Source organism: Homo sapiens, chromosome 4 (assembly GCF_000001405.40).
Source record: "Homo sapiens chromosome 4, GRCh38.p14 Primary Assembly".
Taxonomy (NCBI): Eukaryota; Metazoa; Chordata; class Mammalia; order Primates; family Hominidae; genus Homo; species Homo sapiens.
Genome location: NC_000004.12, coordinates 38,820,148 through 38,845,121, shown reverse-complemented (window position 1 = coordinate 38,845,121; position 24,974 = coordinate 38,820,148). Strand labels below are relative to the sequence as shown.

At 40.3% G+C, this 24,974-nt stretch overlaps 1 protein-coding gene across 8 annotated transcripts in view, besides 2 other annotated features; it reads left to right on the top strand.

Moving 5' to 3' along the window:
* TLR6 (toll like receptor 6) overlaps positions 1–22,225 on the top strand; it is a 45,494-nt gene extending 23,269 nt beyond the window's left edge. For 4 of the 8 annotated variants that reach the window (XM_047449498.1, NM_001394553.1, NM_006068.5 and 1 more), the window contains exon 2: positions 15,585–22,225. In XM_047449498.1, coding sequence (XP_047305454.1) covers positions 15,649–18,039 — 2,391 coding nt within the window. In that variant the 5' untranslated portion in view covers positions 15,585–15,648 and the 3' untranslated portion in view covers positions 18,040–22,225. Of the gene's footprint in view, positions 1–313; positions 915–962; positions 1,484–15,584 lie in introns of those variants that run through there. The other 4 variants (XM_047449497.1, XM_047449496.1, XM_011513613.4 and 1 more) reach the window with 4 other exon arrangements.
* Positions 13,486–13,655: an enhancer, noted in NCBI's record as "experimental_80044 CRE fragment used in MPRA reporter constructs". NCBI's record gives its function as "activates a minimal promoter by MPRAs in K562 erythroleukemia cells, with activity observed for the introgressed 4:38833173 variant allele {active_cell/tissue: K562}" and the evidence as "EXISTENCE:reporter gene assay evidence [ECO:0000049][PMID:34662402]".
* Positions 21,216–21,385: an enhancer, noted in NCBI's record as "experimental_80034 CRE fragment used in MPRA reporter constructs". NCBI's record gives its function as "activates a minimal promoter by MPRAs in K562 erythroleukemia cells, with activity observed for the non-introgressed 4:38825443 variant allele {active_cell/tissue: K562}" and the evidence as "EXISTENCE:reporter gene assay evidence [ECO:0000049][PMID:34662402]".

Genomic DNA, 24,974 nt, shown 5'->3' with positions numbered 1-24,974 from the left:
AAGAAGAGGAAGCTGGAACACATACAAGCCACCCTTTTGACTATCATAATTTGTAATGTTTGTATTTGAAAATGTGGTTTTGTCACCCAGGCTGGAGTGCAGTGGCACAATCTTAGCTCACTGCAACCTCCGCCTCCCAGGTTCGAACGATTCTCTTGCCTCAGCCCCCAAAGTAGCTGGGAATACAGGTGTGTACCACCACGCCTGGCTAATTTTTTTTTTGTTTGTTTAGTAGAGACAGGGTTTCACCATGTTGGCAAGGCTGGTCTCGAACTCCTTACCTCAGGAGATCCACCCACCTTGGCCTCCCAAAGTGCTGGGATTACAGGTATGAGCCACCAGGCCAGGTCTCTTAGAACATTTTTAAATGTGATTTTAAAAGTTCCTTTTATAGTCAGAAATATGACTTTTATAATTTCTGTTTTGGGATACTTAATTTAAGATGTATGTATTTGACCTAAAAAACAATTGATTTTAGTAAATGCTCTATGAACTCTAGAGACTTAGACATATGATGTTCTCTTTTTGTAGGGTACAGCTTATGTCTCTATTAAATCCTTTATTAATTTCTCATTCAAATTTCCATATATGTTTTTATTTTTTGCTACTTGATCTAACAGTGACCCAGAGAAATATGCTAAATACTTTTACTCACAATGTCTCCATGTGTTTTGTAACATTTTTTACTTTGTAAATTTTGATGCAATATTACTTGCTGCATAACTGTTCTTATCTGTTACATCTTCATTGTGAACTATTTGTTTTGACCATATAACCAGTATAAAGTAGTAGCTTCTCCTATCGTTGCCCAACTCTCTAGTACTTTGACCGATATATACTTTGTATATATTGTGTATAAAAACTGCAATTCCTGATGAACACCGCTACCAGTATTCCAGTCGCTGTCCATATCGGTAAGTATTGTCTGAGTTACACATCTCAGAATGCGGTGTGCTCCCTAAAGTGGTTCCCTGCCCCATGTCCAGCTCTTACCTGGTAGTGTCCATCACTAAGTGTAAAGTTTGGGGAGAATGGAGTGTGGCAGTCCGTAGAAGGAAAACTCAGCATGCTGATCCACTCATGTCAGTACCATTGGGGTAAAAGGGACACTGCCTAGCTACTCATTAAGTACTAGTTGGAACTCATCCTCACTGTTTGAATCAGAGACAGAGAGAGGACAAATTTCTTTCTGCCTTTCATCAGGGAGTCTATTTTCCTGAGACAAAGCTTGAGTGTGGCAGGTTTGCCCTAACACAGTTCCAGTTACATTTTTGTGAGTGAAGATGCTCCTGGATCCTGCCATTACATTTCTGTGCTTCTTTGTTTTCAGTGGCCAAGTGGATTTTTCAAATGTATGTGTGTCTCTGTGGGTGTTCTGATGGGCAGTTGGGAGAAGTTATATGGATCAGTGAAGAGCTTTTAACCATACGCCATTCAGTAATAAAAGTTCCCCAACTCAGAGTTTTCACTCTTCCAAAGAAAGGTTGGTTGAAACTCTACTCATCTCTTGCCTGTTTTACTATTTCCAATATATCCTCTGATGACGAAAAGTGGATCCTTTGTAAATAAAGGACTCATCTCTTTCCTGTTTTACTATTTCCAATATATACCCTGATGGTGAAAAGTGGACCCTTTGTAAATAAAGGATTCATCTCTTGACTGTTTTACTATTTCCAGTATATCCCCTGATGGTGAAAAGTGGGTCCTTTTTAAATAAAACTGAGCAATGTGCAGTGCTCATTTTGGTAATCTGCTCTCAATTATCCCTGCAACACAGAGACCTACTTTAAAAATGTTGGTGGCTGCTTTTGTCCCCCAGGAGCTCATAGATGCTTTCTTGTGCAGAACAGAGCCTGAAAAGGTTCTGAGCCAGCCTGGCAGTTCCAGTCCTTTGTCTCAGTCATGAACATGGGGTTTGTGGGCTCATGCACCTGCCGCCCTGCCTCAGTCAAGTATTCTTTTCTTGTTTGCTCAGCATCATTGTCATGAACGTCAATGTCTATAATGTGTTGTAATGCAACGAGGCTTTCTGGGCCCTGAGAAAGTAGTTATCTCTTCCATACGGCAGCTTTAGCCTGGCAAACTTTTTCATTTTGTCAGTGTGTTAGCTGTTAGAACTTGATGTTTTCAGATTATCATGTGCTGAATCCTGTCTCTCTAAATTTGTGGCTTGCAGTCTAATGTTGGTTGGAAAAATACCCATTGTAATGGGAATTGTGTCAACAATGAGATTCTATAACTAAAACACTCCTGGGATTAAAAAAAAAAAGCACAGTATATGTGTCATTGCTATGGCCCGAATGTTTGTGTCTCTTCGAAATTCATGTGTTGAAACCTAATTACCAACGTGATGGTATTAGATGTGTGAGCCTCTGGAAGGTGATTAGGTCATGAGGACAGGCGGCCAGGATGCCCCTGTCGGAGCTGGGTGGCCATGGAGACTTGTCTGGCCTTGTGTGCTGGCACACAGAGGCATTCTGGCTTTGCCCCCCATGGGGGCTCACAGATGCTTTTCTGTGCGGATCAGAGCCTAAGGAGAGTAGACTCCTAAGCATATGTCTGAGTTTCTGAGACTGGCTCCTTGCTTTCCCTGTAGAATAATTTTAGTCCCACCCCTCTTTCCCAGTCACAAACATGGGATCTGTGGGCTTGTGTGCCTGCTACCAGCCCCCAGCAAGGCACAAATGACCACTTTGGCCTGGGTTAATTGCATTTTCTCACTGGCTCCATGAATGGTGATATCATTTCTGCCAGGCCACTTATGGCTAGTTTTGGTCAGGTCCAATTCATGAAGGTGGAGGGAGTAGGTAGTTCCTCCTTAAGATATAAATATAGCCTCATTCCAGTCCTCATCTGCCCTCCCAAAAGGATTGATCCCTCTCATATTCCACAGGGCTTTGGTCATCACATTGCAGGCAGATCCACCTCCTGGCCAGGCCTCAATGTCCTGCCAACCACCTTCCTCCCCTTCCCTTTCTTTTGATGTCACCTTGCCCAAATTGGGTTGGGGATCAGAAAGTCGGGTTTGGGTCAGAATCCTGAAAGATGCAATCCCAAGTGCCATAATCCTGAATGTTGAAATCCTGGAAGATCAAAATCCTGAAAATATAATTCTGAAAAAAAAATTTTTAAACATTCTTTAAAAGACATTCATTTACATTTTTGAAAGGCGATTTATTTGAGAAACATATGAAAACATGACAATATTTTATAAATCACTTTACAAATAAAATAAACAATAATGACGTACATATTTTTGCAAGCATGAACACTCAGATATGCTAAGGACAGTTGCATGCGTAAACACTCAGGAACAGATGAACCGTACTCACAAATAAATGGCTTACGTAACTGCTGCCATCCACACTGTCAAACCATGATGGGCAACCTAAGTCCTTTGATGCGATTGATCAAAAACTGTGATGGGTCACCACCGCATATATATAGTTGCCCAGAGAGCTGAGAGCTTGAGAAATTTTATCTTTCACAAATGCAGATGGGCAAAAAGGACTTCTGTTCATTTATTGAGAAAGTTTCCCTTTTTTCTTCTCTCTTTCTCTCTCTCTCTCCTTTTAATCTCTGCTCACTGCAACTACCTCTGTCTCCTGGGCTCAAGCCATCCTCCACTTCAGCCTCCCTAGTAGCTGGGACTACAGGCAGGCACCACTATGCCTGGATAATTTTTGTATTTTTTGTAGAGACAGGGTTTCACTGTGTTGCCCGGGTTGGTCTCAAACCCCAGAGCTCAAGCCATCTGCCCGCTGTGGCCTCCCAAAGTGCTGGGATTACAGAGATGAGCCTCTGCTCCCGGCAGAAGTTTCAGTGTTTTCACATACACACACAATGCTTGCACACAAAGTCAATGTTGTGATAATGTACTTTTATGGAGTCAACGTTGCATAAAATAAATCAGAACTCTCTAAATAGTCTTTACAAAATTTATACCTCCAGTATTGGAAATGATGTGAAGATGAAATACATAGCATAGCAAATTGTAAAAAATAGTGTTGATGATTTAAAATAATGGGACAAAGGAAAAGAAAAGCAAAAAAATTAACCATCCACCCCACCCCCCAAAAAAAATTAAGAAGAAAAAGTATATCACAGGGACAGATTATGGGCAATTGCATGGAGGTAGTCCATAAGAGCTGGCCAACTTTCACCATTATTAATATTTTAAAGTCTTGCATCACAACAAATAGCTGATTTATTTCTTTCAGGGCACTGTTCTCCTCAGAGAATACATTCACATTTATTTTCGATGTGGCACTGCTTGTTTGGAAATGCTTCTCTGCTTCTATTTACATATTTACACCAACATGAGCATTCCTGTTAAATGTTCTCATCTTCAGTGCCGTGCTTCTGTGTTGATTTGGGTACATGAAAATCTATTCTGCATGCACTCATATACAGACCACACATTTGGCAGAAACAATACTGGTGATCAATCAACAACAGCATTGTGTGTCTTCTTTTTTTTTTTTTTTTGAGAGGGAGTCTTGCCCTGTCACCCAGGCTGGAGTGTAATGGCGCGATCTCGGCTCATTGCAACCTCCACCTCCCGGGTTTAAGCAATTCTCCTGCCTCAGCCTCCCAAGTAGCTGGGATTACAGGAACCCACCACCACGCCCAGCTAATTCTTGTATTTTTTTAGTAGAGACGGGGTTTCACCATATTGGCCAGGCAGGTCTCGAACTCCTGACCTCGTGATCCATGGGCCTCAGCCTCCCAAAGTGCTGGAATTACAGGTGTGAGCCACCACGCCAGTCCTGTGTCTTCTTATCCTACCATATGCATTATTATTTTCAAATCAGTCAGTAACTTCACTGGGTGCTTTAGGCAAATGCAACTTTAATTCATTGAGAACTCCTGGTATTTCATCAGCCAGAAGGAATGCCAGTGCAGACAAATAATGTATTTTTAAACTAAATTTTTCATCATTGCCACATTATGTGGCCAATCCTCTCAACTGAATTTTCTGACAAATGCATTGGGCTGAATGGAAGAAAACAAACTTTATTGGTAACACCTTGAAATTCCCTTTTAGAAGCCTTGATCACACCTAATTCCAAATCAAGTGATAGGTCATTATGATTTGAGGATTCAGTTGGACATTAGGGATTTTAGACTTTGGGGACTTTGATCTTTTAGGATTTCAGCCTTCAGGATTGTGTCTTTCGGGATTATAATCAGCACTGCTGAAAGTCTAGCTCAGCACTGGCACCACTGTCGAGTGCCCATCGGAGGTTTCTCAGGCTCAACTAAACATTCATACCCAAATGCCCCAATAGGCCACACTCAGAAGCTCAATTTTCTACCTGGTACTTATAGTTCATACACAGTCCTTTCATCCTGGATGCAATTTACCAGTCAGGGATCATTGTTACAATAAGTAATGTTGGCTGGTACACAGCTGACTTTCTACATGTTTCAGGTTTTCAGAATAGGGCTAGGAAGTTAACTTGAGGTCAGATCAGTCCATGGAGAAAGAGAGAAATGGATTTGTTAACCCTTCAGCCGTGAAGGGTCACTGGTTGCAGCAGATGGCTGAGTTGGTGCCAAACTGGATACTGGTATAAACTACTGAGTATGTCTTGGAGTTTTTGGGACTGGCTTCTTGCCTGCTTTTTTAAATTATCAAACCGGCTGGTCTAATATTTGGTGGTGGGGAAGGATAAAAGAACTTCTTCTTTAAAAGAGAATAACTATTTTTTGAGTACAGCACGTAGTTAACTTTCAATACAGTTGATTTAAAGCCTTTGCCTAGTAAGTCCAATGTCTATGCTTTTTCCATTTCTATTAATTTTTTTTAAAAAAAAATCAATAGACTTTATTTTTTAGAGCAGTTTTTTTTTGTCTATTTAGTTTTGCCTTTCCTGGAATATCATATAGTTGAAATAAAATAGTATTTAGCTTTTTCAGACTGACTTCTTTCACCTAGCAAAATGGATTTAAGGATCTTCCCCCCCTTCCCTCCCCTCCCTCCCTTCCCTCCCTTCCTCCCCTCCCTTTGCCTCCCCTCCCTCCCTTCCTTCCTTCCTCTTTCTCTCTTTCTATTTCTTTCTCTCTTTTTCTTTCTTTCTCTCTCTTTCTTAACTTTCTTTCTCTCTCTCCTTCTCTCTCTCCCCCTCTCTCCCTCCTTTCTTTCCTTCCTCCCCTTCCTTCCTTCCTTCCTCCCTTCCTTCCTTCCTTCCCTCCCTCCCTCCCTTCCTTCCTTCTCTTTTTCTCTTTCTTTCTTCTTTCCTTCCCCACAAAATAATTATACATATTTATGGGGTAACTACAATATTTGACACATACATACCGTGTGTCAAATCAGGGTATTTAGGATATCCACCATCTCAAACATACATCATTTTGTGTGTGGGTGGGGGAGCATTTCAGATCTTCTCTTCTAGCTGTTTTGAAATATACAATAAATTATTGTTAGCTATAGTCACCCTACTGTGTTATTGAACACTAGAACTTTTTCTTTTTATCTAACTGTATGTTTTTATCCATTAACCAACCTCTCTTCATTCCCTCACTCACCTCTTAGTCTCTGGTAACTATTGTTCTACTCTCTACCCTCCTGAGATGCGTATTTTAGCTCCCACAGATGAGTGAGAACACAATATTTGCCTTTCTGTGCCTGGCTTATTTTGCTAATGTAATGACCTCCAGGTCCATCCATATTGCTGCAAATGACAGGATTTAATTATTTTAAATGGCTGAATGGTATTCCATCGGGTATATATATCACATTTTATTTATCCATTCATCTGTTGATGGACTGTTAAGTTGATTCCATATTTTGGCTATTGTGGATAGTGCTGCAATGAACATGGAGGTGCAGGTATCCCTTTGATACACTGATTTCTGTTCTTTTAGATAAACATCCAGAAGTGGGGTTGCTGGATTGTATGTTAGTTCTATTTTTAGTTTTTTGAGACAACTCTGTACTGTTCTCCATAATGGCTGTACTAATTTACATTCCCACCAACAGTGTATAAGAGTTCCCTTTTCTCTGCATTCTCACCAGCATTTGCTATTTATTGTCTTTTTGATGACAGCCATTTAAACTAGAATGAGATGATATCTCGTTGTGGTTTTGATTTGCACTTCCTTGATGATTCATGGTGAGCATTTTTTTCATATAACTCTTGGCCATTTGTACGTCTTCTTTTGAGAAATGTCTATTCAAATCCTATGCCTACTTTTTCATAGGATTATTATTATTTTTGCTGTTGAGTTGTTTGAGTTCTTTGTATATTGTGGCTATTAGTCTTTATTGGATGAATAGTTTGCAAATATTTTCGCCCATTTAACCCTGTTATCTATTCACCCTGTTGATTGTTTCCTGTGCTGTGTAGAAGTTTTTAGTTTAATGTAGTCCCATTTGTCTATTCATATTTTCATTGCCTGTACTTTTGAAATTTTAGCCATAAGATCTTTACCTAGACCAGTGTCCTCAAGCATTTCTTCTGTTTTCTCTTAGTAGTTTTATACTTTCAAGTCTTACATTTAAGTCTGTAATCCATTTTGAATTGATTTTTGTATATGGTGAGAGATAGGGGTCTAGTTTCATTCTTACAGGGGTCTAGTTTCATTCTTATACATATGAGTGAATATGAAGCCAGCACCATTTATTGAAGAGAGTGGTCTTTCCCCAGTGTATGTTGTTGGCATCTTTGTTGAAAATTGATTGGCTGTAAATATGTGGATTAATTTCTGGGTTCTGTATTCTGTTCTATTGGTCTATGTATCTGTTTTTGTACCAATACCATGCTACTTTTGCTTTGCAGTATCGTTTGAAGTCAAGTAGTGTGATCCCTTCAGCTTTGCCCCTTTTCCTCAGTACTGATTTGGCTATTTGGGGTGTTTTCTGGTTCCATATGAATTTTGAGATTATTTTTTATATTTCTGTAAATAATATCATTGGTATTTTGATAGGGATTGCATTGGATCTGTAGATTGCTTTGAGTAGTGTGGTCATTTTAACAATGTTAATTCTTCCAGTCCATGAACATGGGATGTCTTTCCATTTTTTTGTGTTCTCAATTTCTTTCATCAGTATTTTGTAGTTTTTGTTGTAGGGGCCTTTTGCCTTCTTGATTAAGTTTATTCCTAGGTATTGTAATTGTCTTGTAGCTATGCAAATAAGATTGCTTTCTTGATTTCTTTTTTCTTTTTTTTTTTTTTTGAGACTGAGTCTCACTCTGTCACCCAGTCTGGAGTGCAGTGGCACAATCTCAGCTCACTACAACCTCTGCCTCCCAGGTTCAAGTGATTCTCATGCCTCGGCCTCCTGAGTAGCTGGGATTCCAGGTGTCTGCCAACACACCTGGCTAATTTTTTGTATTTTTAGTAGAGATAAGGTTTCACCATGTTGGCCAGGCTTGTCTTGAACTCCTGACCTCAGGTGATCTGCCCACCTCAGCCTCCCAAAGTTCTGGGATTACAGGTGTGAGTCACCACACCCAGTCCTTGTCTGGTTTTGGTATCAGGAAAATGCTGGCTTTGTAGAATGAGTTAGGAGGAATACCTTCATCTTTAATTTTTTTGAATAGTTTGAGAAAACTTTGTGTTAATTGTTTGTTAAAAATTCAGCAGTAAAGCCATCCAGTCCTGAGATTTTCTTTGTTGGGAAATGTTTTATTACTGATTCAAACTTATTACTTGTTATTGGTCTGTTCAGATTTTTCTATTTCTTCCAGGCTCAAATTTGGTAGGTTGTATATATCCAGAAATTTATACATTTCCTGTAGGGTTTCCAATTTGTTAACATATAGGTGTTCATAATTGCCTCCAATGATCTTTTATATTTCTGTGGTATCAGTTGTAATGTCTCCTTTTTTATTTCTGATTTTATTTATTTTGGTCTTCTTTCTTTTCTTGTCTTGGTTAGTCTAGCTAAAAGTTTATTGGTTTTGTTTATCTTTTCAAAAAATAATTTTTTTGTTTTATTGATCTTTTCTATTTTTAAATATCTCTTTTGTTTAGTTCTCTGAGCTTTAGTATTTCTTTCTTTCTCCTAACATTTGAAAGTGTTTGTTCTTGCTTTTCTATTTGTTCTTGCTTCCTTGAGGTTCGTTGTTAGGTTGTTTATTTCAAATCTTTCTACTTTTTTGATGTAGGCATTTATTGCTATAAATTTCCATCTTAGCATTGTTTTTGCTGTGTCTCCTAGGCTTTGGTGTGCTGTATTTGCATTTTAATTTTTTTCAAGAAACTTTTTTACCTCCTATTTAATTTCTTCATTCACCCAGTGGTTGTTCAGGAGCATGTTGTTTAATTTCCATGTATTTATACAGTTTCAAAAGTTCATCTTGTTATTGATTTGTAGTTTTATTCCATTGTGATCTGAGAAAATACTTGATATGATTTCAATTTTTAAAACTTTTGTTGAAACTTGTTTTGTGGCCTAAGATATGGTCTATTCTGAACAATGTTCCATGCACTGATGAGAAGAATGTGTACTCTGCAGCTATCAGATGAAATGTTCTGTAAATATCTGTTAGGTCCATTTTGTCTAAAGTGCAGTTTAAATCCAATGTTTCTTTGCTGATATTCTGTCTAAATGATCTGTTCAATGCTGAGAGTGGGATGTTGAAGTTCCCAACCATTATTGTATTGGAGTCTATCTCTCTCTTTTGATCTAATAATATTTGCTTTATATATCTGGATGTTCCTGTGTGGGGCACATATATACTTAGAATTGTTATATCCTTTTGATGAATTGATCCCTTTAACATTATATAATGGCTTTTTTTGTCTTTTTTAATAGTTTTATACTTAAAGTCTGTTTTATCTGATAAGTATAGCTATTCTTGCTTGCTTTTGGTTTCCATTAGCAAGGAATATCTTTTTCCTTTCCTTCAATTTCAGTCTATATGTGTCTTTGAAGGTGGGGTGAATGTCTTGTAGGCAGCATATAGTTGGGTAAGTAAAAAAAATCTATTCAGCTAGTTTGTATCTTTTAAGTGAGGAAGTTAATCTTTTTACATTCAAGGTTATCACTGATAGGTAACGACTTATTTCTGTCATTTGGCTTATTGTTTTCTGGTTGTTTTGTATATCCTTTGTTCCTTTCTTCCTCTCATTGTTTATCATTGAACTTTGGTGGTTTTCTGTAGTAGTAACTTCAACTCTTTTCTCTTTCATTTATGTATTTGCTCTACTAGTGAGTTTTATACTTTCATGTGTTTTCATAATGGTAGATATAATCTTTTCACGTCCAGACGTTCTACTCTCTTAAGCATTTCTTGTAGGGCTCGTCTAGTGGTGATGAATTCCCTCAGTTGTCGCTTGTCTGGGAAAGAATATTTCTTCTTCATTATGGAAGGACAGCTTTGATGGGTATAGTCTTCTTGGTTGACAGTTTCTTCTTTCAGCACTTTGAGTATATTATCCCATTCTCTCCTGGCCTATAGTTTCTGCTGAAAAATCTGTTAGTCTGATGGGGAGTCTCTTCTATATGACTTGACTTTTTTTATTTCTTGCTGTTTTTAGGATTCTGTCTTAGTCTTCAACTTTTGAGAGTTTGACTGTGATCTTCCTCAGAGAGAACATTTTTGAATTAAATCTACTTGGGAATTTTTAAGCTTCTTGTATCTGGATGTCTATACCTCTTGTAAGACCTGGAAAGTTTTTAGCTATTATTTCATTAAACATGTTTTCTATCCCTTTGCTCATCTCTTCTGCTTCTGGAACTCCCAAAATGTGAATTTTGTTTGCTTAATGGTGTTCCATAGGCTTTCTTTATTCTTTTTTATTCCTTTTTTTTTTTTTTCGCCTCACTGGGTTATTTCAAAAGACCTGTCTTCCAGTTCAGAAATTCTTTATTTTGCTCAATCTAGTCTACTGTTTTTTAATTTTTAATTTTATATATATATTTTTTTTTTGAGCTGGAGTTTTGCTCTTGTCACCCAGGCTGGAGCATAGTGGTGCAATCTCAGCTCGCTGCAACCTCTGCCTCCTGGGTTCAAGCAATTCTCATGCCTCAGCCTCGCAAGTAGCTGGGATTACAGGTGCCTGCCACCACGCCCAACTAATTTTTGTAATTTTTTTTTTTTTTTAGTACAGATATGGTTTCACCATTTTGGCCAGGCTGGTCTCGAACTCCTGACCTCAGGAGATCCACCCACCTCAGCCTCCCAAAGTGCTGGGATTACAGTTGTGAGCCACTGCACCTGGCCTAGTCTATTGTTTGTACAAGCTCTTGATTATATTTTTTTACTTCATTTATTGACCTCTGTAGTTCCAAAATTTCTGTTTTGTTCTATTTTTAATATCTATTTCTTTGTTGAATTTCTGACTCAGATCATAAATTATTTTTCTGATTTCTTTTATTATTTATCTATGCTCTCTTGTAACTCACTGAGTTTCTTTAGTATCATTATTTTGAATTACTTTTCAGGCATTTTATAGATTTTCTTTTTGTTGAGATCTGTTATTAGAGAATTATTGTGTTCCTTTGGAGGCTTCATGTTTCCTTGCACTTTTGTATTTCTTGTGTCCTTATGTTGATATCTATGGATCTGATGTAATAGCTGCTGCTTCCAATTTTATGGATTGGCTTTGATAGGGAAAGACTTTTGCCTCTAGGTGTTTTTATAGTGTTAGTTGAGTATAGGGTGCTTTGGCTTTGATTCTGAGTGGGCACAGCAGTGTAGTTTCTGTATGATTTCTTCACCTGTCATCAGTGTCAGTGGCATTTGGGTTCCTCAGTGGCTTAGGTTACAGTTGTCAGCAGACACTATGGCAAGGCTTTGCTGGGGATGGGGACACCAGGCAGGCCTGTTCTCAGGCAACAGTGGTGGCAGCAGTGGCCTAGGCTTGCCGGTTCTCAGGCCCCTGTGTGAAATATGTGGGCACTCGTGGTGATGGGTCCTTGAGCCTCCAGGAGATTTAGTTGGATGCTTGCAGTGGCAGTAATGGACCAAGTGGGAGGGCAGGTTCTTGGGCCCCTGCACAATTTGTGTGGCATTAACTGTAGCAGTAGGAAAAGTGGACCAACCCTCTGGCCCCCAAGTGGTAGACACAGGCAGCAGCAGGCTGGGCAAGCCAGTCCTCAGGACCCCGTGTGGCATGCATGTGCCACACCCTGTGTGGCACTGCCCTGCCATGGCAGTGGCAGGCAGGCACTAGCAGCAAAGGGCATGGTGGACCTGTCCTCAGGCCCCTTGGAGGCATGTGTAGATGTGTCGTAGTCCTGCTGCTAGGGAAGATGGGGTTGCTGTAAGTGGCGGTGGCCCTGGGCAGGTAACTCTGAGGCTCTGGGGAATGCACACTTTGACTCCCTTTGTCCCAGGGAAAGCCACTAGGTGCACTGTGCTTCCTGTTTCCTGGGATGCGGGGCATTGCATGGGCTAGAGTGCTGGGGACCTAGCTGCACTGCTGATCTTAGCTGGCATTACAATGCTGTAGCCCTCTAGGTGGACGTAGGAGAATATCAGTGGGGCTTCAGGGGTGTGGAGATTCAGGGTTGTTGGGCCCCAGAACAGGATGTGTATGGTGAGGGCTGGGCTCTTAAAAGAGCCTTATGCTGAAGCTGTTTGGGTCTCAGGGTATGGGGTATGTGGGACCCAATGTGAAGTCCCATTGTGGAACAATGTGATTGCATATATTCCAGACAGCCCCAGGGCATGTGAAGGCCAAGGAGCTAGCTCATGGCTAGGATTACAGGAGTCCATAGTGGAAACATTGACCTCTGAAGATCTCTCAGTTAAACTTTCCCTGGAATGGGAAGTTCCTCCTGGTTCTGAGCTAGTCCCAGCTGGGCTGGCTGCTTCACTTCCCTCTTCTCCCATGCCTCAGAGGTGCACTGTCACTTCTCCGCTGAATTCCAGTGTTCTCTCTTAGATGCTCATTCAATGTGTGATTATCTGCTCACTGTTTTGGTCCTTCTTTGCAGAGGGGGTGAGGGCTAGGTGCCTCTATTCAGCCATTTTAATGCTTCTCCGGCTCATTTTTTAATTGTTCAATAGTATTTTATTGTGTGAATGTACCAGTTTGTTAATATTTTTATCTATTGAGGGATATCTTGTTGCTTCCAATGTTTGACAGTTATGAATAAAGCTTCTATAAACATCCACATGGAGGCTTTTATGTGGACATAAATTTTCAGTTCTTTTGGTTAAATACCCAGGAATGTGATTTGCTGGATTGTGTGATAAGACTATGCTTAGTTTTATAAGAAACTGCATTCCATAGTGGCTGCACCATTTTGCATTCCCACAAACAGTGAAAGAGAGTTCTTGTTGCTCCACATCCTCACCAACATTTGATGTTGTTTTTGGATTTTACCCATTCTCATAAGTGTAATGTAATTTCATTGCTGTATTAATCTGCAAAACCATGATGAAATATGATGTCAAATAGCTATGTATATGTGTATTTGCTCTTTACATATCTTCTTTGGTGAGGTGTCTGTTTAGATTTTTGTGCCCATTTAAAAACTAGGTTGTTTGTTTTCTTATTGTGGAGCTTAAGAGTTCTTTGCATAGTTTGGATACAAGTCCCTATCATATATGGGTTTTGCAAATATCTTCTCTGAGTCTGTGGTTTGTCTTTTTCACTCTCTTGCAGTGTCTTTTGCAAAGCAAAAATTTTAATTTTAATGAAGTCCAACTTAACAGTGTTTTCTTTCTTGGATTATGTTTTTGATGCGTATCTCAAAAGTCATCACCAAATCCAAAGTCACCTAGATTTTCTCCTATGTTATCTTCTGGAAATTTTATAGTTTTGCATTATACATTTAGGTCTATGGTTAATTTTGAGCTGATTTTTGTGAAAACTGTAAGGTCTGCGTCTAAATTCTTTCTCTTCTTCTTCTTTTTTTTTTTTTGCATGTGGAGGTCTAATTGTTCCAGCACCATTTGTTGAAAAGACTATCCATTCTCCACTGAGTTGCCTTTGCTCGTTTGTCAAACAGCAGTTGATTATTTTTTTGTGGGTCTATTTCTAAGCTCTGTATTCTGGTCATTTGACCTATTTGTCTATTCTTTCACCAAAACCACACTGCCTTGATTGCTGTAGCTTTGTAGCAAGTCTCAATGTTAGGTGGTGTCAGTTATCTGGCTTTGTTCTTTTAATTTCTTTTTTTTTTTTTTCCTGTGAATGAACAATACTTTCTGTTTCTTTGCATGGCTAATTTTTTTAAACAAATAAATTAGAGATTCCTTTAATGCCAAGTTACACAATCAAAAAGATAACAATCTCTTTCCATTTGCTTTTTGCAAGGTTTGTGTTATTTCAGGGCAAAACGTAGAGCAAGTCCACTGGCAAATCTGGGGGCTAGTGATTATTTTGTTTTGATTTTTATTTTTTTAAATCAGACATTTTAAACACTACAATGAGGTAACTCTAGAAATCAAATTCTGTCCCCCTTTCCCAGAGGTGTTTTATTTATTTATTTATTTATTTTTTGACAGGGTCTCATTCTGTCACCCAGGCTGGAGTGCAGTGGTGTAATCACAGCTCATTGGAGCCTCGACTTCCTCGGCCCCAAACAATCCTCCCACTCAGCCTCCCAAGTAGCTGGGACTATAGGCACACGCCACCATGCCCAGCTAAGTTTTGTATTTTTTGTAGAGATGGAGTTTCACTATGTTGCGCAGGCTGGCTTTGAACTCCTGGACTCAAGCAATCCACCTGCCTTGCCCTCCCCAAGTTCTGGGACTATAGGCTTAAGCCACTGTGCCGGGCCTCCCTTTCCCAGGGTGTATTGTTGCTTCTTGTGGCTTATAGTTGCTTGTTTAATGACTTTTCTAAATAATTTTTATAAAGATTATTCTTTGTCATGTGTGGCTATTACATTTTCTGTCCAGTTAGCTTAGTGGTCAGCCAGTAACTTGAGATTTCTTTAAACATCTGGAGCAAAAACAAAAACCAAATAAACTAGCAAAAGCAAAAACAAAAACACCCCTGATCTTTGCAGGTTGGCTGTGTTGGATCACTTTCTCAATGCTTAGCCAGTCTATTCACAGCTCTGCTTTAGCCTTCACTTTCTGCATGCATGGAAGCTAAAGATGAGCCAGAGGTGAAGTTTAGGATTTTCTCAGGTCTCCTCTGAACATGCGTCCAGCCTTGGGCACGTGAGTGGACTTCTGGACTCCCTGGTATATACAGAGATTTCCTCAGCCTTTTTTCTCCCACATATCTTTCTCCATATATCTTTGCATATTTCCCAGACTTTTTGATGTGTCTGCTGCTTGCCCCCTCTGTTAGCCCTTGCTCAGGTGGCTGCAGCTAGTATGTTTGCCTTTAATTGTTTACAGCAAACACCAGCCAGAAGGCTGTTCCAGCCCTGAGAAAGTTCTAAGGTGTACAAAACAAAGGCAAGCCCCTGAGTGTGAATCCCTCAGGCAGCAACCAGACAGGTCAAAACACACAACCACAATTCTTTGATAACAAGGCCTATATTGCCCCTTCTGGCATGAGCAAGCTATATAACTGGTTATAAAAAGTATTACATTAAATTATGGGGACAGAAATGACTCTACTAGTGAATGAAGAAATCATTTAGATTTTATGGTTAGTAAGTGGAGGTTTGAGAGTAACCATCCGATCTTTATTAATCTTAGTGTATATTATATTTCTAGAATTTGGACTCATATCAAGATGCTCTGAAGAAGAACAACCCTTTAGGATAGCCACTGCAACATCATGACCAAAGACAAAGAACCTATTGTTAAAAGCTTCCATTTTGTTTGCCTTATGATCATAATAGTTGGAACCAGAATCCAGTTCTCCGACGGAAATGAATTTGCAGTAGACAAGTCAAAAAGAGGTCTTATTCATGTTCCAAAAGACCTACCGCTGAAAACCAAAGTCTTAGATATGTCTCAGAACTACATCGCTGAGCTTCAGGTCTCTGACATGAGCTTTCTATCAGAGTTGACAGTTTTGAGACTTTCCCATAACAGAATCCAGCTACTTGATTTAAGTGTTTTCAAGTTCAACCAGGATTTAGAATATTTGGATTTATCTCATAATCAGTTGCAAAAGATATCCTGCCATCCTATTGTGAGTTTCAGGCATTTAGATCTCTCATTCAATGATTTCAAGGCCCTGCCCATCTGTAAGGAATTTGGCAACTTATCACAACTGAATTTCTTGGGATTGAGTGCTATGAAGCTGCAAAAATTAGATTTGCTGCCAATTGCTCACTTGCATCTAAGTTATATCCTTCTGGATTTAAGAAATTATTATATAAAAGAAAATGAGACAGAAAGTCTACAAATTCTGAATGCAAAAACCCTTCACCTTGTTTTTCACCCAACTAGTTTATTCGCTATCCAAGTGAACATATCAGTTAATACTTTAGGGTGCTTACAACTGACTAATATTAAATTGAATGATGACAACTGTCAAGTTTTCATTAAATTTTTATCAGAACTCACCAGAGGTTCAACCTTACTGAATTTTACCCTCAACCACATAGAAACGACTTGGAAATGCCTGGTCAGAGTCTTTCAATTTCTTTGGCCCAAACCTGTGGAATATCTCAATATTTACAATTTAACAATAATTGAAAGCATTCGTGAAGAAGATTTTACTTATTCTAAAACGACATTGAAAGCATTGACAATAGAACATATCACGAACCAAGTTTTTCTGTTTTCACAGACAGCTTTGTACACCGTGTTTTCTGAGATGAACATTATGATGTTAACCATTTCAGATACACCTTTTATACACATGCTGTGTCCTCATGCACCAAGCACATTCAAGTTTTTGAACTTTACCCAGAACGTTTTCACAGATAGTATTTTTGAAAAATGTTCCACGTTAGTTAAATTGGAGACACTTATCTTACAAAAGAATGGATTAAAAGACCTTTTCAAAGTAGGTCTCATGACGAAGGATATGCCTTCTTTGGAAATACTGGATGTTAGCTGGAATTCTTTGGAATCTGGTAGACATAAAGAAAACTGCACTTGGGTTGAGAGTATAGTGGTGTTAAATTTGTCTTCAAATATGCTTACTGACTCTGTTTTCAGATGTTTACCTCCCAGGATCAAGGTACTTGATCTTCACAGCAATAAAATAAAGAGCGTTCCTAAACAAGTCGTAAAACTGGAAGCTTTGCAAGAACTCAATGTTGCTTTCAATTCTTTAACTGACCTTCCTGGATGTGGCAGCTTTAGCAGCCTTTCTGTATTGATCATTGATCACAATTCAGTTTCCCACCCATCGGCTGATTTCTTCCAGAGCTGCCAGAAGATGAGGTCAATAAAAGCAGGGGACAATCCATTCCAATGTACCTGTGAGCTAAGAGAATTTGTCAAAAATATAGACCAAGTATCAAGTGAAGTGTTAGAGGGCTGGCCTGATTCTTATAAGTGTGACTACCCAGAAAGTTATAGAGGAAGCCCACTAAAGGACTTTCACATGTCTGAATTATCCTGCAACATAACTCTGCTGATCGTCACCATCGGTGCCACCATGCTGGTGTTGGCTGTGACTGTGACCTCCCTCTGCATCTACTTGGATCTGCCCTGGTATCTCAGGATGGTGTGCCAGTGGACCCAGACTCGGCGCAGGGCCAGGAACATACCCTTAGAAGAACTCCAAAGAAACCTCCAGTTTCATGCTTTTATTTCATATAGTGAACATGATTCTGCCTGGGTGAAAAGTGAATTGGTACCTTACCTAGAAAAAGAAGATATACAGATTTGTCTTCATGAGAGAAACTTTGTCCCTGGCAAGAGCATTGTGGAAAATATCATCAACTGCATTGAGAAGAGTTACAAGTCCATCTTTGTTTTGTCTCCCAACTTTGTCCAGAGTGAGTGGTGCCATTACGAACTCTATTTTGCCCATCACAATCTCTTTCATGAAGGATCTAATAACTTAATCCTCATCTTACTGGAACCCATTCCACAGAACAGCATTCCCAACAAGTACCACAAGCTGAAGGCTCTCATGACGCAGCGGACTTATTTGCAGTGGCCCAAGGAGAAAAGCAAACGTGGGCTCTTTTGGGCTAACATTAGAGCCGCTTTTAATATGAAATTAACACTAGTCACTGAAAACAATGATGTGAAATCTTAAAAAAATTTAGGAAATTCAACTTAAGAAACCATTATTTACTTGGATGATGGTGAATAGTACAGTCGTAAGTAACTGTCTGGAGGTGCCTCCATTATCCTCATGCCTTCAGGAAAGACTTAACAAAAACAATGTTTCATCTGGGGAACTGAGCTAGGCGGTGAGGTTAGCCTGCCAGTTAGAGACAGCCCAGTCTCTTCTGGTTTAATCATTATGTTTCAAATTGAAACAGTCTCTTTTGAGTAAATGCTCAGTTTTTCAGCTCCTCTCCACTCTGCTTTCCCAAATGGATTCTGTTGTGAGCAAGAGTTTATATGGCTTCATGGCAGCAAGGGAACAGTCAACTTCAGCATCATATGCACCAGTCCTCGGAGTGCCCTGTGAATCATATTGGTCTTTGGGTCAGTGTCATCATTCTCTTCAAGTCTGGGGCTTGGGGAAAAAATTAGATCAGCTACGGCATATAAAAAAGTCTTTTGTTTCACATATGTGTAATAGCTTATTTAATTTTTTATCCTGCTACACAAATATGTAATTAACCAATGAGGACTCATGACTTGATAGTGTATGTATGTAAAGGGATATATGGACTTAATCATAAGCTGTTGAGGTGAAAGACGTGGATCCACCTGCTTTCCAAGAAAACTCGGCCAAATTTATTTGCAGCTGGATATTGAATGGGACTTTTCTGGTTGTCTTAGAATTCTGGCTAAAGGCTCAAAGCTGACGAAAGACAGTAACTGCACCAACATGATACTAGACACAGCCAGTCTGGACTTATCAAAAGAGCAGAAAGAGACCAATGACTCCCAGTCCGTATTATCCATCTCTAGAAGACTAGAGTCAAAAGCGTGATTAAAGAGTCATTAAGCGGAGGTTCTAGGCCATAGGGAGATTGCTTTGAATTTCTTGCAGACAAGTGTGAGGGACTCAGCATGGTAGAAGGTAGCCTGGCATCCCACTCCAAGACTGAAAGCTTGCAGAGTAACAGGAGCACACAGGTTCAGTGCAGCAGATGTGGTGTGGCTTGAGAATTCTTGGAAGAGCTTGATGAGTGTTTGCTGGAGTCCGAGGGTGGGCACTGGGAACACAGAGACTGGTAAATAGTGTTTGGCAAATACAAGTGCTTGATGAATATTTGTTGAATGAATAGATGAGTTCTTCCCCCCTGGGGAATTCAGGAGGTGAAAGGTTGGCTTGAGCACCCAAAATGGCAGGATGAGAGAAGAGAAGCACTGATAGCAACCTGCCCTCCCATTATTGACATGGTAAAAGGATGTGAATTTCTTCACATGGCTTTGACTATGGAAGAGTAGCTGGGCTTGCATTGTCATGACGGGATATCAGCCAACAGGGTAGCCTGTTGTGCAAAGAAACTATAGCAGTAAGAGGACACGGGGTTAGGCAGAAGAGGGGTTTGGGGTGGAGGTTGCTGCAAGAGGTCAGCCAGATAATGTGGCCCTGCATCATGGAACTGTGCAATGTGGGGTACACTCAAGGCCCTCCAATAACTCACAGATGTGCCCTATGAAAAAGCCAGCATTTGGACTCTGCCATAGCAGCTGGCAGGATCATGCTGGCCTGTCTGCCTTATTCAATAGTTAACTACAGGAAGATCTGCTCCTCTTTGTGTAATACCCTCTTCCCTTGCAATGGCATAGGGACATCTAGAATATAGAGAAGACAGAGACAATGGAGGAAGAGTAAAGAAACTGACTATATGCCTTCGTCATTTCACTGCAAGGAAGGCCAAGCAGATTTTTGAATGAGGTGTGAGATTGCTGTTAAATTGGACTGGCCTGGACATTTTAATCCCTTAAATAGAGGTGCAATGACTAAAGTGAGATTTGTCACTAAAATTTATGGTATCTGCCCAAGATTCAGGAGTGATGATGGGAGGAGATCCAACAGAACTTTGTTGTAAGGCAATGGTTAGAGAAAAATGAAGCCCTCGCTTTCTGGACTTAGTTCATTCAATAAACCAGTTTCGGCCAGGCACGTTGGCTCACATCTATAATCCCAGTACTGTGGGAGGCTGAGGCAGGTGGATCACTTGAGGTCAGGAGTTCGAGACCAGCCTGGCCAACATGGTGAAACCCTGTCTGTACTAAAAATACAAAAATTAGCCGGGTGTGGTGGTGTGCACCTGTAGTCCCAGCTACTCGGGAGGCTGAGGCAGGAAAATCACTTGAACCTGGGAGACAGAGGCTGTAGTGAGCTGAGACAGCGCTACTGTACTCCCCGCTGGGCAACAGAGTGAGACTCCATCTCAAAAAAGTTAAAAGAAAAAAAATCTGGTTTCATAATAGCTGTAACGAAATAAGCCTTAATGATATTTTATTAGCATCATCTTCTGTCTGCATTAGCCCTTCCTTGCTCTTCAGGAGAACAACATTTGTTTTCCTCCCTAGGCTCTATCCCAAACGGCACATTCTTCCACAACCCCTGTTGAACAGATTTTTTAAACTGTTGCCTAATCTAAAAACAATAAAAACAACAAACAACCACAGTAACAACAACGACAAAAAAAACTGCCACAGATTCTAAATAATCAGATCTTTTTAAATGGTATCAATGTTTCCCACAAAATATTGTTGACATTGAAAATATAGAATTTTAGCATTAATTTTGTTAAACCTACATCCCCTCGGCAGAGGGGCCTCCCTGCATCCCAGTGGAAAGTAGGTTCCTCACAGTCCTCTCCGTCACATTCTTCCCATTTCTTTTCTTCACAGAACACATCACTGTCTAAAATTATCTTGTTTGCTTAGTTGCTTACTCATCTTCTTCTTCTCTCCTCTGAAGTCTAAGCTCCAGGAAAAAGGGAGACTTCTCCACCTGTTCCCTGCCTCTCCCCAGTGCCGAGGGGACACTGTGCACCCCATTGTAGATGCGCAGTAAAAACTCGTGGGATGAGCAAATGACTCTGAAACGGTCCCATGCGGGAAATGTCCATGAAGTCCTGGATTTTATCTAAAAAGCCCAGGCAGGGGGGGGCGGGGGCGGCGGGGCTACAGTTCCACGCTGAGCTGCCTCCTGGCCGCTCGTCCCCGCCGCAGTGCCTGGGCGGCCCGGGCGCCCGACCTTGGCCGTGGACACCTTCGCGGTGGGTGCTGCTCCTCCCCATCTGCCACTGGAAGATGCTGGGGCGACCCGGCTCCAGGTTTAGCAGGACACTGAGAAAAGGGAATGGCTGCCTTTCGGAGGCTGGGTGAGCCCTTCTCTGTGCCTCACCTGCCCGCCCCACAGCGGCCCTGCACCTCGTCCCACGGGGCCCATTGCCCCGGTAGGATGCGCGCTTTTGTTTTGAGGGTCAGGCATCTTCCCTGCCGTCGTTTCTGGGAGGTTGAAAAATTGATCCAGAAAGACCTAAAACAAAAAACAAAGAAAAACAAAAAAGCGAAAAGGAGGCAAAACAAAACAAAAATCCATACAAATAAAGTATCTCCTCCATCCATGTTTGCACTATTCCTTCTCATTCCCCCGTCCAATGCCACAATTTGGTAAGTTTGCCTCAACACGTTTTCAGTTCTTAACACTGTGATAAGAATAAACAATAGATCCCGTAGTAAGATGACCTGTTAAAAGGAATGGGGCATGGCAGAGATGAGTTTGGATGAGGAAAGGTGTCAGTCCGTTTGGGCTGCTCTAACTAAGTTCTGAGATGTGTGTTAGGTAATTTTGACTTTGGTTGAACATCATAGAGTGCACTCACACAGACATAGATGACATAGCTTACTACACACCTAGGCTTATGGTATAGCCTGTTGCTTCTAGGTGATTGTAACACAATGCTTAGTATTTGTGTATCCAAACATATCTAAACATAGCAAGGGTATGGTAAAAATATGGTAAAGAAGATAAAAAATGGTACACCTGTATAGGGCACTGATGTGGGTTGGCTGTGTCCCCACCCAAATCTCATCTTGAATTCCCACGTGTTGTGGGAGGGACCCAGTGGGAGGTGATTGCATCATGGGGGCGGGTCTTTTCCTGTGCTGTTCTCCTGTTAGCGAATGGGTCTCATGAAATCTGATGGTTCTTTAAGGGGGAGTTTCCCTGCACAAGTTCTCTCTCTTCCCTGCTGACATGTAAGATGTGACTTGCTCCTCCTTGCCTTCTGCCATGATTGTGAGGCTTCCCCAGCTCTGTGGAACTGTAGGTCCAATAAACCTCTTTCTTTTGTGAATTGCACAGTCTCAGATACGTCTTTATCAGCAGCATGAAAATGAACGAATACAGGCACTTACCATAAATGGAGCTTGCAGGATTGGAAGTTGCTCTGGGTGAGTCAGTGAGTGAGTGAGGGGTGAGTGAATGTGAAGGCCTAGGACATTACCATATCCTACTGTGGACTTTACCATGTCCCACTGTGGACTTTATAAGTCCCATTGTACATATAGGCCACACAAAAATTATTAAATTTGTTTTCTTTCTTTAGTAAGAAAAATTATTAAAATTGTTTTCTTTCTTTAGTAAGAAGTCAACCTTAGCTTATTGTAATGTTTTTACTTTATCAACTTTTTGCCTTAAATTTTTTTTTGGCTCTTTAGCAATAACACTTAGCTTAAAACACACATTCTACAGCTATATAAAAATATTTTCCTTCTTTACATCTTTATTTTGTTTTTTCTATTTTTAAAATATTTTATTTTTATTTTTCACTTTTTAAACTTTTCTGTTAAAAACTGAGACACACACACAGACACACACACACTAGCCTAGGCCTACTCATAGGGTCATTATCAATATCACTGTCTTCTACTTCTACCTCTTGTTCCATTGGAAGGTCTTTAGGGGCAATAACATGCATGAAGCCATCATCTCCTGTAACAACAATGCCTTCTTCTGGAAAACCTCCTGAAGGACCTGCTTGAGGATTTTTATAGTTAGCTTTTAAAAAAATAAGTAGGAGCACACTCTAAAATAATGATTAAAATTATAGTCTACTAGATACAGAAACCGGTAACATAGTTGCTTATTATCATTATCAAGTATTATGAACTGTACATAATTGTATGTGCTGTGCTTTTATATGACTGTCAGTGTCGTATGTTTGTTTACAGCAGCATCACCACAAACATGTGAGTAATACATTGCACTGCAATGTTACTAGGCCATAGGAATTTTTCATCTCCATTATTATCTTATAGGGCCATGACTGTTGAGTGAAATATTGTTATGCACTGCATGACTGTACCACAAATTGAGTAGCTTATAAACAATGGAAATTTATGGCTTATAGTTCTGGAGGCTGTAATGTCCAGGGTCAGGCTGCTGACAGATTTGGTGCCTGGCGAGGGCCCACTTTCTGGTTCATAGATGGCTTGTCTTTTCACTGTATCCTCACCTGGGGGAGGGCACTAATGCCATTCATGAAGGCTCCACATTCATGACCTAATTGTCTCCCAACATCTCCAACTCTTAATACAGCTCTTTCTCCGTATCCACAGGGGATTGGTTCCAGGAGCCCTGTAGATTCCAAAGTCTGTGAATGCTCAAGTCCCTTATGTAAAATGGCATACTTCCAACCTGAGCATCATAGTGAGACCCCACCTCCTCAAAAAAAATACATGCCTGGCGGCACATGCCTGTAGTCCCAACTACTCAGGAGGCTGAGGTGGGAGGATTGTTTGAGCCCAGGAATTCCAGGCTGCAGTGAGCTATGATCATGCCGTTGCACTATAGCCTGGGCAACAGAGCAAGACACTGACTCTGAAAAAAAAAGTGTACTATTTACATATAACCTATGTACATCCTCTCATATACTTAAATCATCTCTAGATTTCTTACAATACCTAATACAATGTAAATGTTATGTAAATGTTATGTAGTTGTTAAACTGTATGGTCTTTTATTTTTATTATTTTGTATTATTATATTGTTATTATTTATTTATTCATTTATTGAATATTTTCAATCCATGGTTGTTTGAATCTATGGATGTGGAACCCATGGATATGAAGGGCTGATTGTATTATCCCCTTGGGGGTTAGGATTTCACCATAGGAATTTTGAGGGGCACACAAACATCCAGACCATAGCAAAAGAGATAAGAAACCTAGGTTAGTGACCAGGGAGGGCTGCTAGGATGAGCCTTGATGAAAGATCTTTCATCAGGAGGATCCTGGGCATGTGGCTGGGAAGGGTCCTGGGCATGTGGCTGGGAAGACCCTTCAAAGGGGAGGGCACAGTGGGTGCAAAGTTGGAAGTGAAAGAATACCATGAGCGAAGAAAGCATCAAATTGGCAGTGTTGCTGGATGTGTTAGTTTCCTGTGGCTACCAAAACAAATTACCACAAACTGGGTGGCTTAAAACAACAGAAATATATTTCTCCCAGTTCAGGAAGGCAGAAGTCAGAAATCAAGGTTGGCAGGGTTGTTCCTTCCAGAGGCTGTCAGGGAGAAATCATCCCTTTCCTCTCTCCTAGCTTCTGGTAGTTGCTGGCAAACCTTGGCGTCCCTTGGTTTGCAGATGCATCAGCTGCTTCTTAGAATGCCCTGGAGGACATGCCCCAGTAGTTAGCAGCTTTCTATAGAATGTGGTACATAATACTTCTTTGTCTTTAGTTTTGGACCCAAGTCATAAGAAAAGTTCCAGTCAACACCCTATTACGTAATCAGTAGAACCAACAGATGAGAAGAGAAACCAAAATTATTGGTAGGCTATTGACATACATGGCAGATGCGCAATCTAAAAAAATGTATCCCAAATTTGGGTTAAATAATCAATAATCTGTGCCTGTGTCTTCACATGGTGTTCTCCTCCAAGTCTCTGTCTTTTTTTTCCTGTCTCTTACAAGGACACTCTAGTTGGATTTAGGAGCCTCCTTAATCTGATGCCATCACATCTTGGTCCTTAACTTAATTAGATCTACAAAGACTCTTTTTTCAATGAGGTCACATTCTGAGATTTCAGAATAAATCTGAAATAAATG